The sequence below is a fragment of the Homo sapiens genome, chromosome 15, assembly GCF_000001405.40.
Source record: "Homo sapiens chromosome 15, GRCh38.p14 Primary Assembly".
NCBI classification, from domain to species: Eukaryota; Metazoa; Chordata; class Mammalia; order Primates; family Hominidae; genus Homo; species Homo sapiens.
The window spans coordinates 99,320,478-99,342,139 of record NC_000015.10 but is presented as its reverse complement, the minus strand read 5'-3'; the positions used below and the strand labels follow the sequence as shown (position 1 = coordinate 99,342,139).

Genomic DNA, 21,662 nt, shown 5'->3' with positions numbered 1-21,662 from the left:
GGTAGGCTAGTTCTAATTTACAGATTTATGGCAGAAATACCAAGAATTCCTTCAGAGAAGATCCTAGAGAAGGAAACAGGCTGACTGTCCAGTATGGACTTGGAAAATACAACACTGCCATGGCTGCTTGTATGAAGAGCAAAATGTCTTCACTGCATTGTGCCTTGAACTGCTTGCTCAGCTGCACTATGTTCCTGTTTTTCTGGTTTGTTTGGAACTTAAGAACTTTACTGAAAGCTATGACTGATGGAGACTCCAGATTCTTGCTTTTAAGTCAATTCATAACATCTTCCAGACTTCACTAGTACTGCACATTTTTGTCACTATTTAAAAAGCTGTGAGTTCTAGAACGAGAACAACAAAAAACTCTCCTGGTAAACATTCTGCTCATGGTGCTAGCCCTCATACTGCTATTTTTCTAAACTTCACATTGTGCCCTAAGAATGAACATTTCTTTTTCTCTTAATTGATATTTGGGAGAACAGGGCTCACTTTCTTCACATTAATCATGTCCCACCCCCTAAATCCTACTCCAAAACTTAGAGAAAAATACAAATTTGTTCATTTAAAGCTCACCTAATCTAGGTGCACTTTTCTCTTCATACATTAGCATAGTAAGTCAACATCTGGCAGGTGCTGCAGAAGCCACATGAAATAATCCTGTTAGCTTCCTAGGAAAACCTAACACAAGAGCAAAACCCTTATGCAATGAAAGAAAAACAAAGCACTGTCAGAAGACAGCAGAACAGGCCGGGCGCGGTGGCTCACGCCTGTAATCCCAGCACTTTGGGAGGCTGAGCCAGGTGGATCAGCTGAGGTCAGGAGTTCGAGACCAGCCTGGCCAACACGGTGAAATCCCCATCTCTATTAAAAATACAAAAATTAGCCATCCATGGCAGTGTGCGCCTATAATCCCAGCTACTCGGGAGGCTGAGGCAGGAGAATCACTTGAACCCGGGAGGTGGAGGTTGTAGTGAGCCCAGATCACGCCACTGCACTCCAGCCTGGGTGACAGAGCGAGACTCCATCTCAAAAAAAAAAAAAAAAAAAAAAAAAGACAGTAGAATAGGATCAGATGAGTAAGCAGAACAAGGATAAAGAAGAGTTTTTGTTACAAATACTTAGAAAAAGACAGAGCTCAAAAAGAAGCATTGCACATCCATTTCCTTGACAAAATTTGCATTCCAGAGCTCTAACTTTTCTTGTGAAACAAGATCTGTATGGATTTTTGTTAACTGACTAATTCTCTCATTTCTTCCCACTACTAGATTTTGAACCTTGTTTTCAAGACTTTCTCTTCTCTGTTTTCATTAGATAGAGACCTGCCCAGCAATTACTATAGAACATCATTTTGTCACATGTTTGGGCCCCCTTTTTGAAAGCAGCTATCACACCTTTCATACCTTCTACTCAAACACAGAACTCACTCCAACTTCTCGGACTTTTTGTCCATACTAGAATGAAGTTCTTTACTGAAATTTACTTAAGGCCACAAATTCTGCAAATTAGTCCCATTAAATAATGACGTCAAGGCCATAGTTCTTCAAACTGCAGATGAAATACATTCACAGTTCAGTACAGTACAGTTTACACTCATCTCCAAGTCTGAGATTAGGAAATTATTAACTGGTTTCCAACTCGTTTCAATAGTTGATTGAAGTTTAAATAGTTTTACTGTGTGGACTTTTTTATTAAAAAATAGTAAACAGCAATTCTTTTCCTGACTTTCTAAGCAAATACAGAGAAAGTAGGAACAAGAGGCAATAGAAAAAACAAGTACAGTTAACAGATTTGTGCCTTTTATATGCCATTTACAAAAAGAGAAGGGATTTCAGCATGTGCTTTGAAAATGCCTAGGAGCTAGTTTCTAAAACTGCACCATTACTTGCTATATGTTCTTTCTACATAAGGCATCCAATTCCTACAAACAAATACAAGTGTACTACCACTACAAAAAACTGGAGTGTTCTCCTGTTATGTGATAAAGGGCCAGCTTTATACCCTTATCAAAGTCACAGTGTGTGATCTGGAGGAGTGGTAGAATCACGCTAAAACATGACTCTCTGCACTCACGTGCTTGCTTGTCCACTAAAATTCTTCTATAAACAATTTGAGGTTAATGCAGAGGTACATTTATTTTTAAAAATCTATTTATATTTGATATTTTTCAAACATCATTTCATTATGTAGCACAAGTCCTTGATACACAGAATAACTCTTCCCAAGAAAATAAACACTACTAGAATCTCCAAGAGATAATTCTGGGGCTGGTTTAGAAACCCAGTTAATTTTCCCTCGTAGAAAGTTATTTTCTACTAGCTGTTGGGCTTACTACGTGGTGGTTTATGCACAAGCTATTCTGTAAATCTCAATGTCCTGTGCTAAACGTTCCTGATTACAAATTCAATCGCTTTTTTTTTTTTTTCTCACTCTGTTGCTCAGGCTGGAGTGCAGTGGTGCGATCTCGGCTCACTGCAACCTCCCGGGTTCAAGCGATTTTGGGGCCTCAGCCTCACCAGTAGCTGGGATTGCAAGTGTCTGCCACCACACCCAGCTAATTTTTGTATTTTTAGTAGAGACGGGGTTTCACCATCTTGGCCAGGCTGGTCTAGAACTCCTGACCTCAAGTGATCCACCTGCCTCAGTCTCCCAAAGTGTTGGGATTACAGGCGTGAGCCACGGTTCCCAGCCCAATCACTGTTTTTTTAAGTTAACATTGAATAAGAATTCCATCGCTAAAGTGGATACAACTTTTGTTTTCTTGTTTTCTTAAACTACAGAAGTTACTGGCCTTGAGTTTGGCTGACGTGGCATTTCCTGGGAGCTAACTAAAGATGCTCTTCCATAGTCAATTTGTGAACGGAACACAATCCTTATATCTATTATTCAACATTGAATAAGTTGTAAACACGCCTGGATAATTGGACTTATTAATTATGCAATGAAAACCAGAAGCGCATGGTTAAAAAGCCTTAGAGAAAAAAATCATTTTCTTTATATCTCCCTACACTTTCAGAAGCCAAGAAATGAGTTGCAGTTCTCTGAGTTAGTTAACAGAGCTGTATTGAATCAAAAGCAAATATTCACGTCTCGAGGCCTCTATTAAATTTCACAGCACTAGGCTCAAGTGACTGCTTTCCCTCCTCCTTGCTGATAGTCACCACTGTGAACAAAGCTTCTATCTGTAGAATCTTCTGTCACTCAGTTGTGATGGCATAGTAATAATAGGAACATCCTTTTCTTCCGGTGCATCTTTTCATCTTAAGAAGAACATAGTCAAAGAGTCTTAATGGTTTCAACAGTATTACAAGTGACTTAGGGAAACATACTCAAAGACTGTTAATGGGTTAGACAGTATTATAAGTGATTTAAGTCATCCTTACAGGTGGTGTCTCTAGTTACCTTTTGAAGAGGCTATAATCTTACATTTCTCTAAGAAGCCACTTAAAAACTGGTTTTCTCCTAAATCACACTTCTTTGGCAAGAAATTGAATTCATTAAGTGGCTCCCCAAAGTAAGATTCCCACCTCCCATCATAGGGAGCGATATCACAGCATTCATTTCATAAAACTTTTAAGTTCCTGTATTATGTTTATAGAATCAAGGCTCTTAGAACACAGGAGCCTTCTAATATTTGAAAACCTTAGGGGTACACGTGAGTGTGTGCCTGTGTGTATGTGCAGAGTATTTCCAAACTACTGTAAAGAGGTACCCCTATTTGCTAAGTTTCTAAGAACAGTTCAGTTCTCTAAAAAAAGGCAGTGCCAGAGGCTGCATGCTTTGTTTGACTCTCTCCCAGATAGTTCTTAGCATTAGATGGCTTTGGTTTTTCAGAAAACGGTTCATGGAAAGGTTTTAAGTGTATAAACTTAATTGTTTTCTTCCTAAACACAGAACTGAATTCAATTTCCACACCGATCTTCATGATGGCAAAAAATACCCCCAGAAACAGAAAGACAAGACTGAGGAGACTGTGGCTATTTTGGTCAGCTTCAGTTTCTTCATCTCCGTGGATTATCCTGTCTCCAGTCTCCTGAAGCCTTCCTTGAGTGACCTCACACAGAGGTCTCCAGCTGTCTCCTCCATTTCTTACAAAGAATATCCAGTATACCAGATGTAGCAAGGCCACCGGGGCTTGCATTTGCTCCCTGATCCTTTCTTCCTGCTGTTCTCAAAGAATTCAGTTTTAGACCAGGGCAGAGCATTGCTTCAGGTAGCCTGCTTCTTTTATACTGGATAATCTTCATCATCATCATCATCATCCTCTTGCTTGTATGCTTTTCTTAAGTAAAGTAAAACCTACTCACAGGCCCATGTTCTGCCAGGGCTGTAAGCCTTGTGAGCCAGGATGGTGCCCAGAGCCTTGTGGAAGCTGCTTCCTATCCTGGGCTATCTGCAGCCCGACTTGGGAGTTGTGGTTACTTCAACTGCCATAAGGCATCCTCCTCAAAGTGCAGAGCAGACCCTCTTGCCTCTAAAGTTCTTTGACACCACATTCACAAATTCACAAAGGAAAGTTGCTCCTGACACAGAGGCAAGGCTTTGGAGTGACAAGAAACCTAGAGACAGAAGAAGCTACTCTGTAATAATTCAACTCAGCACTGAAGATTGTGTACCAAAGAAGAGATGCCCACCTCCTTAGCCACACCGGCCATTAGCATGGTGCATGCAGAAAATGCCCTAGTAAATAACTGAGAGTGCCAAGGCAGAAGAGCAGCCTAGCTATGTGTATGTAGCACTCAGTTCTCTACCCAACAACCATTTCTATCACCTTGCACCAGCCACTGCAAGTCAGGTCCTCTGTTGCTGCAAGCATTCAGCATGACACACAGCGTCACTCCCCAGGACCCCAAACATTACAGTGGTCAGCTTCCTATGGGAATGGCTTCCCTCTATTCTCCCAACAACACTGCCACCTTGGCACATACTCAGCTTTTGTCACTGCTGAAAGAAAGGCAGGAATGAGTGGCCAATGACTAGGGGAATGAGGAGCCAGGGCTAAGGAGCTATAGTGAGGGAGGGAGAATAGGCAAAGGTGAAGGGCACAGAAACCAGCTGCAGCAAACAAAAGTCATTCGACTTAAGGAGTTCAATTGTATGCAGGAGTCTAGGCAGAGCCAGGGCTCTAGAACCAGATGGCATTCTGGTAAGAGCACATGTGAGTATCAGACAAGAGAACAGGGCTGTGGATCAGACTCTGGCAGGCTCAATGTAGCCAGTAGTTGTATGAATGGTTCACAGCTGAGACAAAGGATATGTAATGGAATAACCAAGACAAGAGAAAAACAAGTTATTAGGAGCACACCTCCAAATTAAGGAACCAGGAGTTCTGCTGAAGTTGCAGGGGCCGGGCAATGGAAGAAGAGTTACTATCAGCACCAAGACAGACCTAGATAACAGGTCTCAGGCCTAGGCTTTTATAAGATTTCTGTTGATGCAGAAGCTACTGACACTAGGCCAGATGGAAACAAGTAATTGGGAGCACCTGGTTGGCGTACGGAGTGGGTAGGTGAGAGAAAGCGCTAGCCTCTAGCAGGTAATCTTGCTAAGTGAATAGAGAGAGAGATTGAATGAGGCCAACGAGAGTGTCAATAGGAGTATCTTGAGCCCAAAATGGCAGAGCCAAACTTTGACACTGGAAACGGCCACACAACAACTAAAAGATGCTCAATATGGTTCAGCCCTATTCCCAAATAAGGGCCCCCTGTAGAGAGACCATGTCTGAAATATGGAGACAGCATGTCAATGTGGCAAGAATGTAGGTTTAGAATCAGACAAGTCTGAAACTCAATTCTGTCTCTTACTAGCTGTGACTCTGGCAGGTAACTTAACTTCTGTGAGCCTCAATTTCCTTATCTATAAAATTAGGTTGCCAATAACTTTTATAATAATAGATTTTGTCATAAGGTTTTGTAATAACTAAATTAGTGAGCATATGTATAGCAATTAAACAGAGTACCTGGCCGAAGACTCGGTGCTCAATAAATGGTAGCTATTATTATTCTTACAAATAGTCATAGTAGTATACATAATACCATTATTGCACATGGAAACACTCCTTTTTACATATATTGTCTGTAATAACAACAACATTATGAATAGTAGTATAGGCGACCCCAGACTTAACAACCTAATCTGTTTCTGGTAACGTCTGAAAGTCAAGCCACAGTAAGTTAAAGGCTGCTTATAATGAAATTTGCAACTTTACTCTGAACTCTGGTGTTATGCCAGTAAGTTGCATTTCATGCCACACAAATCAAACCATCACATCCTTTATCTCCCTCCCTCCTTCTCTCCTTGCCTTCCCTCATGTATTGCCAGCACTGACTGCAACATCCTGGCAATCACTTGGAAGGGAGTTGGCACTGGTGTAGGTCACACTTCCATCTCCATTATGAAGTGGTAAATACAAGCTTAGGTACTTACCACAAGGAGAGGGGGTGAATGTGAGGGGGGTAAAAAAAAATTTTTAGAGACAGGGTATTGGTATGTTGCCCAGGCTGGAGTGCAGTGGCTATTCTCAGGCACAGTCATAGCTCACTGCATCCTTAAACTCCTGGGCTCAAGTGATCCTTCCACTTCAGCCTCCTGGGTAGCTGGGACTACAGGTATGCATCACCATGCCTGGCTCAAGAATAAAAATTTTTTAAGTCAGATATGGTAATCTACAAGTTGTATCTTCTCATTTGAGAATCATCTACATTTGTACAGTGCTTTATAATTCTTATACATAAACTATCATATTCAACTTCAAAATAACTATAAAGGAAGCAGGATAAATATGATCTCTGGCTCACAGAAAATAAAATTTATGAAGCTCAGAGAGGTTCTGGTGACTTACTCCAGGTCACACACTGTGAAATGGTGGAATCAGGCTATAAGCTGGAGCTCTAGATTTGTAATTTGGTGCTTGACCACCATAATCGGTCTATGACCTGTGGGGTTAGTGCAGCAGGTACATTTATTTTTTTAATTCTATTTATATTTGATATTTTTCTCACTTGAAAGAAGCTCTGATTTCTTAGAAATGTAGCCTGCTTCTGAAACGGCCTCATTTCATTTTGTTAATTTTATAAATACAAAATTTAATTATATTTATGGAAAAATAATCTCCTCAAATTTGATTATTACTTCCATTGATTTTAATGTATCCATTATTTTAAAGTTACCTTGAACATATTAAATTGAAAATAATATGTGCATTGTATTATCTTGGAAAATATTTCCTTTAGGGACTAGTAAATTATTCACTTTACTACCCTCAGAGATAAATTATAAAAATGCTTTTATGAGTAAAATCATATGATGCTTATTGTGACAGTTTAAGGTTCAAAGTGGCCTCATATTTTAATTTTTTTAAATGGCACTTTTGTTTCTTACAAGTTAACAAAATTATTCAGCTATCTATAAAATAAATGTACTGTTTTATTCAAGGCCTATGTACTATGACATATAATATGTCAAAATGGGTCAGCTACAGAACTCTACAGTGGATAATATATTATTTTTTAGCCAGGCTGACATTTCTAGCTCAGCAGGAAGTTCAGCCAATTTTAAGGTCTTTAAAGTTTTATAATCTGGTTATCTGGCAATATTAATTATTAGGATACCCAATACCAATTTTTCTAGGGAGAAGTCAACATCTAAGCCAATACTTAAGACCCGTAGCTAGCTATCTTTTCATATTGTTCAATACCTTACACACACACACACACACACACACACACACACACACACTCTTTAATTCCTTTCTCTGAGGAAATCATCTCATATATTTTATCCCTAAACACAGTTTTAGCACAGATTTCTTTTTTAAAGTATAAAATCCCTCACTGAAATAAATTCCATTTGTTAGCTAGGAATGACGCTTTGTTCACTGCAAAAACAAACTTAGAGAAGCAATCGTCAAGATAAACAGAAGGAAGGAAACTAACTAATTGGTTCTAGTCAAAGAAACAAAGGCTTTCCATCTTATTCTTTGGCTGCTTTACTTTAAACACAATCACTTACCAAGTGGCAAAAATGCAAGACGGTTTCCAGCCATGGAGAGCTCATTGAGGCTGGGCAGCTGGCAGAGATGGCGCGGCACATACCATAGACGATTTCGGTCCACAGTGAGGTACTGCAGAGAAAGGCACATGTGAAGCCTCTCGGGTAAAGTTAGCAAACGATTGGTAGAAATGTCTAGTGTCTGCAGCTCCTTCAAATCGCCAACCTCTACAACCAAAATCAAAATTAGGATAAATTGCATCCTTATGAACTGAAATAAACAAAATGAATCAATATTATAACAGTTTAACCAAATGAAATCAGTAGCTGCGACTATTCCCATAAACATGAATGCTGAAGTGCAGGATTTTTGGTGAAAATGCAAATAATCCAAGCTAGGTGAGTGTTTTTAAATTACCCTGCCAACATTTCTTAAATGGAGAAAAGGGCTGGGTAGCATGGAGAAAAAAAGAGACACAAAGTGGTGAGTCTGAACCAGAAGTCTGTCACTATGGCTTCTGCATCTTGATGAGTCAAGTTTGTTGCCAGGGTGAGAAAAGAACAATTACAGTCATTTCAAGGAACCTGGTTTTTGCCACTTGTGTGATTTTACCATCCATCTAAGAAGAAAATAGGAGATTTATGAATAATAGCAATGAAGTAAGTGCAACTTGTTCATATGAGCTAAACAGATTTCTGGAGTAGAAATTAGAATGTCTTTTGGAAATTTTCACCATGGTAAAGATTGTAACAATAAAATGAGATACAGTTAACTAACATTTTTAGATACCGTTTAGGCATGCGGCACCTTTTAAAAAACCCAAAGTATACATACCCTATAAAGACTTACTTTAATTCCCAAATTAAATACTTCCATTTACTCCAAAATTCCCTCATCATTGATGTCTACAGTTGTCATCTCTTCCATGGAGAGTACAATTAGGTCCTTTTCATACATCAAATCACTTAAGACTTGAGTGAAGATTAGGAAGTTCCTTACAAGGAACTTAGTCCTTCTCAGGGAAAATCACCATTTTAGGGGAAGGACATTTACTGTTTCCCAGGTCAGCACATTACACTGAAGACCTACAGTCAGCACTGTGCAGGACAAGCCTACTTTCACATCATGGAGACTGAGACGTTGAAGACCACTGTGATACTATCTCTTGCCTTCTCTCATCCTGTCCCTGTTCCCGAGTCATTCCTCCTAGGTTAAGGTTTCCCCTTCTCTCATCCTGTCCCTGTTCCCGAGTCATTCCTCCTAGGTTAAGGTTTCCCAAGCTCTACCACTTGACAGTACCCCTCTGTGCACATTCCAGTTTGTACAACACTTGGATTAGTATTAGCAATGTCTTCTCTACTGGGTAAGAGTCTTCTGCCGTCTTGGATGCTCAATTAAACAGATTAGTTTTTCTCATTGCTACAGACCAGCTGGTGGTAAACTATGGCTCACAGGCCAAATCTAGCCCATGGCCTGCTCTTGTCCTGCCTGCAAGCTGAAACTGGTTTTTTACATTTTTAAAGGATGGTAAACAACAATAAAGACAAAGAACATGTGACAGAGAACATATGTGGCCTGCAACACCTAAAAATATTTACTATCTGGCCATTTACAGAAAAGGTTTGCTGATCTTTGCTATAGACTTTTTGTTAGTAGGAGGATTTAAAATAATTATTTTACTTTATAAAAGTAATACAAGTCCAAAATACCCTAACTTGTAGTTATTTTTCTAATATTTACGAATTTGTGCTAGGAAGTTCATACGTTACTGCTCAATTTCCTCAATACTGAACAAAATATACATCTGCAGTGGAGCGGGCAGGTAGGATTCAGTATACAGCCTGTGACTCTGAAAGGGAGTTTTCTACTTGAACTTAACTGGTGCATAGGAGAGTCAATTTCACGCTTGGCTCCACTGGCATAGTACTCCACCTTGCTAAGCCTGTCTATCTCTTTCACAAAACAAAAATGCTTCTGATTTCAGGGGTGTGGGGATAAAATATGAGGAAGAATCATCGTGTTTTATAAGTCATAAGAAGAAATACAAAGAAAAAAGAAAAAGAACTAAATTTAAAAATCAAAAAATGACTATGTGGGAGAGAAGAGTAACCAATCCCAGACATACCACAGCCCGTGTCAAGACAATGATGAGACAAGGCCTCTGCCATTGAGAAGCATATCACACACAACCGACGAGGTGCAAGAGGAGCTCAGAGAAGGTTATGTGAAGGCTTGGAGAAACTCTTCCAAAATCTGAATTTGGAGATGGGAATTTGAATAAGGCACAAAGAAAATGCATAAAGCATTCCCAGCAGGGCATGGCGGGGGGTTAAAACCATGAGGAAAAGCATGGAGGTGAAAAACTACATACAGCTTGCACAATGGGCTCTTTGGGGACCAGCAAATGACAGAGACACCAATGGGAGAAGAGCAGAAAATAAATTCAACAGAGAGAGAGAGAGAGAGCTTGGTGGAGACAGGAATGATAATAAATATTGGGTAGAGGAGCCTGGACTTGCTATTGTGAGAATATGACATCTCCCGAAGATTCTTAAAGGATGAAAGGATGTTTTTTGGAAAGGCTAGACAGGCAAATATGCAGAAAGCAATGATATGGAAAGAGATCCTAGGCTGACAAAACAAGTAGGCATTTGACTAGGACAGAGGCAGTGCAATAGAATTTGAAGACAAATTCCAGAGGTACTTTTAACAGAAGCATGAGGTAGGTTTGATCGGATATGGAAAATAATAAAATAGGAATAAGTCAAAGACAGGCACAAGCTTCTAGACTATTACACTCTAAGTGTGCTGATGCCAATGCTAAAAATTTATTTTTATAGAAAAACAATTAAAATGTCATCAATACCTCTGAATTGCATTATCTGCAAACCATCTACCTAAAGGTATTTGAAAAAAATCCATCAAAATTTACATGGCAGCAAGTAAAATAAATGATTTTGAACATATTTCAAAAATAATTAAATGTGCAAAAAAGTGTTTTTACATGGCTGCAAAAATTACTAAGGCTTGCACTTTTTTTGCGTTATTGTAAAATGGGGCAACAATGTGTGATTATGAATTTAAATTTTGATGAGAAATATTAAAGACTTAAGAAGCTTGATAAAAACCAAGTAGGATAAACACAGAGACCCACACCTATACACATCATAATCAAACTATAAAAGACAAAGATACATAAAAAATCTTGAAAGCATCAACAGAAAAATGACTCATCATGTTCAGAGGAAACAAGAAGATAACTAAAAATATATAGTTAAAAAAAGTCAGCACAGTAACTGAAATTGCACACTAAAAATATTTATCTAACATGAAAAAAGGCAATAAAAGGAGAGGTATGGGGAAAAAAATACAAGATATGTAGACTACACATAGCAAAATGGTTGATGTATTAATAAACACAATCATATCAATAATTACATTAGATGTGAACAGACTAAATAACCCACTCAAATGGGAAGGCTGTCAACCGCATAAAAAACAATATGCTATCCATAAGAAATACACTTTAGATTCAAAGGCACAAATAGGTTGAAAAGTAAAAGGATGGGAAAAATACCATGCAAAAAGTAACATAAGAGAGAGCAGCTATATTCATATCAGAAAAAAATAGACAAGAAATGCTATAAGAGGCAAAGACGAATATTTCATAATAGTAAAATGGATAATACTTTAGAAAAATAAGTCAACTATAAATATATAGACATGTAACGAGAGCCTAACATTATATAAAGCAAAAAACTGACAGAACTGGAAGGGAAAGCAGACATTTCAACATGATAGATGGAGAGTTTAATACATTACTCTCAATAAAAATAAAACAACTAAACAGAAAACCACTAAGAATATAGAAAACTTAAAACTACACAATCAACCAAATGGGCTTGGGCCAAAATCCTAAAAGACACACTCCTGACAACCATAATGCCAAATGTTGAAATCCTGAAAGATCCAAAATCAATAAAGTGTAAAATTTGAATGAAAATCACAATCCTGAAAGATCAATATCCCAAAAGTATAATTCTCGAAAGAATTTTTAAAAATTCCTTTTTTAAAAAAGACATGTATTTATTTTATAAAGAGGGTTTATTTTAGAAACATAAAAACCTAACAATACTTGATAGGTCACTTTACGCAATAAAATAGGCAATAAACATACATATTTTTTGCAAGCATAAACACTCAGATATATTAATCATAGGTGCATGGGTATAATAGTTACAAGCAGAAAAACCATATTCATAAGGAAATATGTCAAAAAGCAAAATGCATACACGCATACCACTATGGTTGGCGACCACGTGCAGCCAGCTTTATAACTGCAGTCAGCTGCATGAAATACCATGATGAACAACCTAAGTCTTCTGACGAGATCAATGAAAAACTATGATGGGTCAACCACTGAATATGCAGTTATCCATATCCAAAGAGCGAAGATCTCAAGAAATTTTATCTTTCACATATGCAGATGTACAAAATGGACATCTCTTCATTTACTGAGGAAGTTTCAACCTTTTCCACACATGCCCAATGCTTATACCCAAAGTTAACATTGTAATAATGTAATTTTATGGACTCAAATTTATAAAAATGCACACAATAAATTAGAACTCTCGAAATTTTTACACAATTTATACCTCCAGTGTTGGAAATTATGCGAAGATGGAATGCTCAGCATAACAAAGTGGCACTATGAGTGAAGGGGCAGAAGTTGTACACCACTGAAAAATTTGGCAGGGGAGATTTCTTGTATTTTTTACTTGCATTTTCACTTCTATGATCTTCAAAACTCTCTCCACTTATATTTGGAGGGTGGTTGTGTTCTACAACTTTTTGAAGTGTATGCTGTCTGTTTGAAAGTCTGGTTATGGCTTTACCATTACAATTAAGTGATTTTCTGTATTCACAGCACCAATTATATTTTAAAATTTATCTTTTACCATTAAGTAGCCTCATACACTTAATTTATCTCAGCGTTTTTGCAAGAGAACAATTTCACTGATCTGTTCCATTGTGTTAAAAGGAAAATGGTAAGAAGGAATGATACTTGGCTTCCCCAATACCAAATCTGTATTAGAGTTTTTCAAAGAGACAGAACCAATAAGATATGTATATAGATATATGAGAAGGGATTTATTATGGGAATCAGTTCATGTATGAGAAGTCCCATGACAGACTGTCTGCAAGCTGGAACGCTGGGATATCTACAGTGTGGCTCAGTCCCAGTCTGAAGGCCTCAGAACTAAGGATGCCAATGATGCAACTCTCAGTTTGAGATCAAAAGCCTCAGGACCCGGCGGGCTGCTGGTGTAAATCCTGGAGCCCAAAGGATGTCAAACCTGGAATTTTAATGTCTAAGGCAGCAGGAGAAAAGGCTGTCCCTTCTCTGAGACACAGACCAATTCACCTTCAGTATTTGTCCTCTCTGGCCTACTAGATAGTGCCCACCAGTAATGAGGGCAGATTTTCCCTACCTAGTCCACTCAGACTCATGTGCTAGTCTCCTCTGGAAACTACCTCACAGACTCACCCAAAATAATGCTTTATCAAGTTTCTAGGTATTTCTTAATTCAGTCAAGTTGACACCTAAAATTAAGGCCACGAGTCCACTCCTTGTCAACCTGGCACTCATGTGTCTCCTTAAACCACACCTAATTTCCAAATAAAGACAATAACAAGGTAATAGTTCCACCTAACATGATGCAACTATCCTGGTAAAACCAAAATGTACTAAAACTCCTTCCCTAGAATTCGGCTTTCAGGATTTCAACATTCAGGATTTTGATCTTTCACAATTGTGACTTTTAGAATTTTATATGTTAGGCGTTCTCATCTTTAGGAAACTCGATCTTTCAACATTTGGGGTTCTCACATTCAGGACTGTATCTTTCAGGATTATGATCAGCACTGCAAACAAACTGACCTAATTTGACATCTAAGAAGAACACTACAGCAGAATACACACATTCTTTTCAAGTGCACATGGTATATTCTCCAGGACAGACCACATGCTAGACTATTAAGTCTCACATTTAAAAGAATTTAAATCATACAAAGTATGTTCTCTGACCAAAAGGTAACTAAATTAGAAATCAACAACAGAAAGAAATCTAGGAAATCCCCGTATTTGGAAATTAAACAACACACTTCTAAATAACCCATAATAATAAAATAAATCAGAAGGAAACTTTGAAAATATTTTTGCCAAATAGAAACAACCAACACAAGATATCAAAATGCATAGAATGTAGCCAAGGAAATGATTAGTGGGAGATTTAAAGCTTCGAATGCCTATATTAGAAAAGAAAGTTCTGAAATCCATTTCCTAAGCTTCCACCTTTAGAAAAAAGAAAAAGTAAAAACTAAAATAAAAATAAGCAGAAAATAATAAAAATTAGAGTAGATATCAATGAAATAGAAATTAGAAAAGCAACAGAAAAAAAAGTCAATGAAAACAAAAGTTAGTTCTTTAAAAAGACAACAAAATTGACAAACCTTTAGCTAGACTAACCAAAGCAAATAAATACATACACAGAAAAGGAAAACTGACTTGAATTAGGAAAACTAGGAACAAAAGATGAAATATCACTATTAACTTTACAGAAATTAAAACGATTAAAAGGACATACTATAATATGAACAAATTTATTTCAACCAATTAGCAATTTAAATAAACATATTTCTAAAAAGATACAAATTACCAAATTCAAGAAGTCAATAAAAATCTAAATAGATGTATCACAAGTTAAAAAACTGAATTAGTAGCCTGGCACAGTGGCTCACACCTATAATCCCAGCATTTTGGGAGGTGGGTGGATCACTTGAGGTCAGGTGATTGAGACCAGCCTGGCCAACATGGTGAAATCTCATCTCTACTAAAAATACAAAAACTAGCTGGGTGTGGTGGTGCACACCTGTAATCCCAGCTACTCAGGAGGCTAAGGCAGGAGAATTGCTTCAACCCGGGGGGTGGAGGTTGCCATGAGCCGAGATCGTGCCACTGCACTCCAGCCTAGGCGACAGAGCAAGACTCTTGTCTCAAAAAAAATTAAAAAAAAACAAACTGAATTCGTAATTTTAAATCTTTAAATCCTCCCATAAGAAAAGACCAGGTCCAGATGGCTTTTCTATTCTAACAAATATTTCAATTCTATTATATATTTAAGGAGGAAATAATATCAATTGTTCACAAACTGTCTCAGAAAACAGGAGGAAAAACTTTCCAACTCATTCTATGAACATTACCCTGATACTAAAACCATACAAAAACATCATAAGAAATCTACAGACCAATATCCCTCATGAACATAAGTGCAAAAGTCCTTAACAAAATATTAGCAAATGAAAGCCAGCAACACTTAAAATGATTATTTATCATGAACAAGTAGGTCTGAGATGTTTCTGAGTGTACATTTTTTTAAAAGGTGGGAAAGAGAATCTACAAAAGCAGTAAAAAAAATACTGGCAGGCATCATGGACCAGAAATTGTGAGAAATTACTAGATGATAGAAAAGAACAGAAATTAAATTAAATACAGAAATACCACAAAAGAGTCAGCAGCATCAATAAAGTGTTAAAGCCTCGCTAGCCACCATCCACCCAAGCTAACTCAGCAGCCTGGTTCTTTCCACAAAGTTGAATAGTAACTTAGCTGTTTACTTGGCTCTTGCTTGCTCTGCCCCAGGACATGACCTTTTAAAGGGCAGGGACTGTCTTGCCCATCTTTGCAGTAACATGCCTTAGCTCTGTGCCTGGAACACAGGAGGCACCATTATCTCTTTGCTGAAAGAATAAACTAGAATGTGATTAATATGCTGTAAAATGATATCTGGACCCTAATGGGGGTCTGAAGATAATTTTCCAGGTAAGAAAGTATACCTTTTAAAACCTTTTAATCATTTTTTTTATTTTTTAAAAAGCAAAGAACATACCCTTATTTTATTGATATTTTATGAACTGGGTAATGACCAAATCTGGGAACACCACTGTAACTTACACCCTCTATAGAATAGAGAGAAATACAGAACAAAGGTAGGTGAGGGCCCCATAAGAGGCCACACTCCAAAATCCATACTGAATCTGTTAGCCTCTCCGAGACCTCTACTGTTGACACCAAGCTCAGCCTATTACCATCTCTTGCCTGAACTCAACCAACAAGCCTTCCCATTGGTCGTCTTCTTCTATTCTCACCCCTTCCAATCTATTTTCTACACAGAAGTCAAAGTGATATTAAAATATACGTCAGATGGCGGTCCTTCCCTGCCCCAAACTCTGCCCTGGCTTTCTGCTGCACATCAATAAAATCTCTAACACCGTCTTACTAGCAACATGGTCTCCAGATCAGCCCTGGCCCACCTCTCTTCCCCACAAGTGGGTCTGATGCTAGAAATGTAAGGTTGGTTCAACAGCTGAAAAATCAATGTAATACACATGTTCATGGAATAAGAATAAAGCATTTCACAAAATCTAAAATCCACTCATGATAACTACTCTCAACAAACTAGGAACAAAAGGCAACTCCTTCAACCAATAAGGGGCATCTACAAAACACCTCTAGCTGAGAACGTATGGAACACTACGTTAATGGTGACAGGCTGAGTGCTTTCCCCTTAAATCCCCCTTGTGCCTACAAGGCAAGGAGGCTGAGTGTTTCCATTGGTACCCAACAATATACTGGAGATTCTAGCAAAGGCCGGAAGGCAAAAACTGAACAAACAAAAAGCATCAAGAATGGAAGAGAAGAAGTAAAACTTTATTTACAGATAAAATGATCCTTAGTAGAAAATACTAATTAAGGGATCCACAAAAACTCTTAGAACTAATAAACAAGTTTTAAAGGGTTGCTAGATACAAGATCAATATTAGAAAATCAATTGCATTTCTATACATCAGGAAAAAACAATTCCAAAATTAAATTAAGAAAATAATTCCATTCACAACAGCACCAAAAAAAATTATATACTTGGTAATAAACTGAACAAAAGTAGTACAAAACTTATATGCTACAAACTGCAAAATACCGTTGAGAGAAATTAAAGAAGATCTAAATAAACAGAACGATATTTCATGTTTATAGATTTGAAGACAACACTGGTGAGATGGCACACTCCCCAAACTGATCTGCAGATTCAACACAATCCCTATCAAAATCCCAGGAGGCTTTTTTTGGTAGAAATTGACAGACTGATTTTAAATATTTATTGCTGTGTCATGCTGAAATTAATGTTGTATTCCTGACACAGAGTTACAATGCATTCTTTTTGGAATCCTGGTAGAATCCTACTCTTTTCACACCACTCCCAATCCTTTCTACCCCTTCCCTGGGAGCAAACATAAGTCTGTACACCTTATTTCCTTAGTGTCTCTAACTTTACAGTTGTTTGCATTGTTTACTTTTGTGCTAAATACACAATACCTTGAAACTTTTCAGCTACTTATAGAGTATTCTGAAAATGATTTTATTATTGCCACATAGTAATTACTTAGATTAGGCACAAAAATAACATTATGGTGTCAATTTCAAAAGAAAAACACAGTAAGTCCCCTTTAAATCATAGTTCTGTGCTGATGCACAATGACCTAACCTAAAATTTAAATGGGAATGGGAAGGAAGCCACCCACTCCACACCAAGCTAGTGACCACAGAGAGTCAATGACAGACTTGATATTTTTAAGCACTTGCTTTTTCCGGTACCACTAAAAATAGCTCTAAGTTGAGCTCCAGAGCACACTGGGTTGAGAACATACAGAAATCCCCCTTTATCCGCGGTTTAGCTTTCTGAGGTTTCAGTTACCCACAGTCAACTGCAGTCTGAAAATATTAAATGGAAAATTCCAAAAATTAACCGTCCGTAAGTTTTAAATTTCATGCCATTTTGAGCAGCATGATGAAACCTCATTGTATGAATCAGCCCTTAGTCCAGTGTACCCGCCCTGTCTACCCTCCTCGCCCATTAGTCACTTAGTCATTTAGGGTATTAGCTCCAGAAAACGTAGTGGATATAAGGTTGAGTGCTATTTGAGGTTTTAGGCACCCACGGGGGGTCTTGGAACATACTCCCACAGATAATAGGGGACTACTGTACAAATAAATAAAAGACAACATTTCAATGCCAAATTCCATTTGGTGTACAGTAAGTCTTCCTTTTTATATCCATTTTCTTTCTCTTGAGCTGTGGAATACACATACTCTGGTACGTACAAATAGGTTCAAACCATAATCCTGTTACTTATTGGCCATGCAACTTTGGGTTATTTACTCAACTATTTAGATCATCGAATTGCTGTTAAAGAAAAAAGAGTAACACCTAACTCAGGAGATTAATAGTGATTAAAATATCCCATATAATTCAATAACAATAACAGAAAAGTTAGTATTTACTTCTAATTTTTCAGTTCATACTACAAAATATTCCAAATGTAAACTCAATATAAATACTTCTGTAATTGATGAAGTTTTTTATTATCAAAATAACTGCAAACACAAACATGTTTGTTAACTCTAACACAGAGAAAAGGGCTCTTTATTGGGAGATAGATGACTTTCAGAAACTGTGAAGCACTATCTTCCTTGGACAATTAAAAAAATTAAAAGCAATTCAGATTCACTTGAAATATTAGTCCATTTTTAAGGCTAAGAACAGCATTCAGGATGTCCCACACACTTAAGTTAACTGCAATTATCAAACAACGCAACCTCTTAGACATTCCTTGTAACAATTGGGATCGAATCCTAGATATAGTCTAAAATCATTTTTTAAAAAGCAGAATTCATATCTTCCTAAGAAGGAGTTTAACCTGACTCTCTGATATGAGGATTAAAATCCTTTAACACCAAATTATTGTACTTATATTTTTAAACCCAGACTGGTCACTGCAAATAAGCAGCCTAGCTAGAAAGGACCTGGTCTCTACACGTGGGGTGAATCATGCTCACAGACCAGGGAGCCAAAATCAAACTGTGGTAAATTATGCTTAATAATACAAATAAACTTTGATGCTTCTGTTCTGAGATGTTTCTGAGTGTACATTATTTTAAAAGGTGGGAAAGAGAATCTACAAAAGCAGTAAAAAAAGATACTGGCAGGCATCATGGACCAGAAATTGTGAGAAATTACTGGATGATAGAAAAGAACAGAAATTAAATACAGAAATACCACAGAAAAATCAGCAGCATCAACAAAGTGGTCAAAGCCTCTGCTAGCCACCATCTACCCAAGCTAACTCAGTAGCCTGGTTCTTTCCACAAAGTTGAATAGTAACTTAGCTGTTTATTTGGCTCTTGCTTGCTTTGCCCCAGGACATGACCTTTTAAAGGGCAGGGATTGTCTTGCCCACCTTTGCAACAACATGCCTTAGCTCTGTGCCTGGAACACAGGAGGCACCATTATCTCCTTGCTGAAAGAATAAACTAGAATGTGATTAATATGCTGTAAAATGGTATCTGGACCCTAATGGGGGTCTGAAGATAATTTTCCAGGTAAGAAAGTATACCTTTTAAAATCTTTTAATCACTTATTTTATTTTTTAAAAAGCAAAGAACATACCCTTATTTTATTGATATTTTATGAACTGGGTAATGACCAAATCTGGGAACACCACTGTAACTTACACCCTCTATAGAATAGAGAGAAATACAGAACAAAGGTAGGTGAGGGCCCCATAAGAGTCCACATTCCAAAATCCATACTGAATCTGTTAGCCTCTCCGAGACCTCTACTGTTGACACCAAGCTCACCCTATTACCATCTCTTGCCTGAACCCAACCAACAAGCCTCCCCATTGGTCTTCTTGCTTCTATTCTCACCCCCTCCAATGTCACAGAAGCCAGTGATATTAAAATATACATCAGATCATGGTCCTTTCCTGCCCCCAGACTCTGCCCTGGCTTTCTGCTGCACTTCAATAAAATCTCTAACACCATCTTACTAGCAACATGGTCTCCAGATCAGCCCTGGCCCACCTCTCTTCCCCACCTCGCTACAATCTAATTACCTTGTCCTTCCTTCTGTCTGGCCCAATGAAGTGTCAAGTTATTTCTTCCCTTGGAGGCTTTGAATCTGCTATTCCTCGGTCAGGAATGCTCCTTCCCAACCCTCCCAACCGTAGACTCTTTCTTGTGTTTCAGAATGTTACCATCACATTTTCACAAAGGCCTTCCCTGACTTCAAGCAGATTCCCTATTTCTCAATTGTAGCATCCTATTTATTCCCTCCCTGCATTTACTTATTTAATTACTTATTCATTTATTTACATGTCAAACCACAGTGTGTACCTCCCACTAGAAAATAAATTTCATAAGAACAGGGGCTTTGATTTTATTTGCTGCTATATTCCCCATATTCCTAGCACCTAGCAGAGTCTAGCACATGGTAGGTGCACAGTAAATATTTTTTGACTTAATGTATTCCTTAAACTACCTCACTTGTTCAGTGGCCGCAGACCAGACTTGCAGCTGCACACAAACCTCACACTTATGATTCAGATTTGTTGCTTAGCAAAATTACAACAGTTGTGGACTTTTGAGGAAACTCACAAATCCTTGGAGGAAAAAAAAGTGAAATCCAAGACTGCTAGAGGTTTGTTGCACATTTAACATAATTTAAGTTTTCCTTAATGTCTTATAATTATCTCTGTGAATGCAAGTGATGGGAGTATTCTATAAGACATTACTGACCGAACGCCAGCTGCCCACAAGCTAAATAGCCCCAGTCTCTTACGCATTTTCAAATTTGTGTGTGTGATCTGCTATATAGCTGACACAGTTTTACAGAAATAAATGTAACATGCATAACTTAGACTATACAATAACATAACTAAATTTTCAGCAGGCATGTCAGAAGTCACGTAAGCAAATAAATATTGCCCTTCAAGATCATAAACCAGCAAAACCAATCCAATGATATGTGTTCATTCATATTTTTGAAATTTGTTTTGAAATTCCCTTAAGATCTTGATATAGAATTTTTTCATGGATTCTAGGGATCAAATCTACCCCCAAAATGATAAGGATATGATACCATCAATTATATTGAGAAGAACATGCCTCAAACTCTGAAGGCAAGTCTAAAGGAAAACATTTTTTTCATGTTTAAACAAGATTGGCATCCTCTGAGTAACATACTCAATGACAGCTCAGAGGCATTCTTGTAAGAATGATGTTCTTTTGTTTTTGGAATTATTTAGAAACTCGATTAGATCTTATTTGAACTTAAAAACCATGGAGTCTTTTTGGAATAAGTGTATTTTCAAGATTAACTAATCTGAAGGAATTAACAATGATCTGACTTTATAAATTTGGAATCTGGGTGTATTTGTTTAACTATTACATCATTTTCACATTTGAGAAGGTACAACCAGATCCACCCAGTTTGGCAAAACCAAATCTATGCCTTACCTGGTCTATTTGATGGGCCAGAAATAGTTTGATTTTGGTTCACATCATGATCCAGTAAGTCTGAAGGGGTGACTGCTTGTAGGGCTCAAACAGCACCAGCATATTTCTCCATGCTCTTATTACACTCCATTATAGCTGCATGCTTACTAGCATGTGTTCCCTCCTATAATTCCAAGTGCATAACATGTTTCAAAGGCACCAGGAGTTAACCAGGTGTTGGGAAACTTGCTTTGGAACCTATCCAGCAATTATTTTGGC

The 21,662-nt window shown here is 37.7% G+C and overlaps 1 protein-coding gene across 25 annotated transcripts in view; it reads right to left on the bottom strand.

The window, feature by feature from the left end:
- LRRC28 (leucine rich repeat containing 28) overlaps positions 1–21,662 on the bottom strand; it is a 139,249-nt gene that overhangs the window by 48,590 nt on the left and 68,997 nt on the right. For 16 of the 25 annotated variants that reach the window (NR_135758.2, NM_001321675.2, NM_001321680.2 and 13 more), the window contains one exon: positions 8,011–8,217. The exons of 2 other annotated variants lie outside the window; for them this stretch is intronic. Coding sequence is in view for 17 of the 23 variants with exons in the window: in NM_001321675.2 (NP_001308604.1) it covers positions 8,011–8,217 (207 nt within the window). In the remaining 6 variants the exon portion in view is untranslated. The remainder of the gene's footprint in view (positions 1–8,010; positions 8,218–21,662) is intronic. 7 more of the 25 variants (NR_135755.2, NR_135757.2, NR_135753.2 and 4 more) reach the window with 1 other exon arrangement.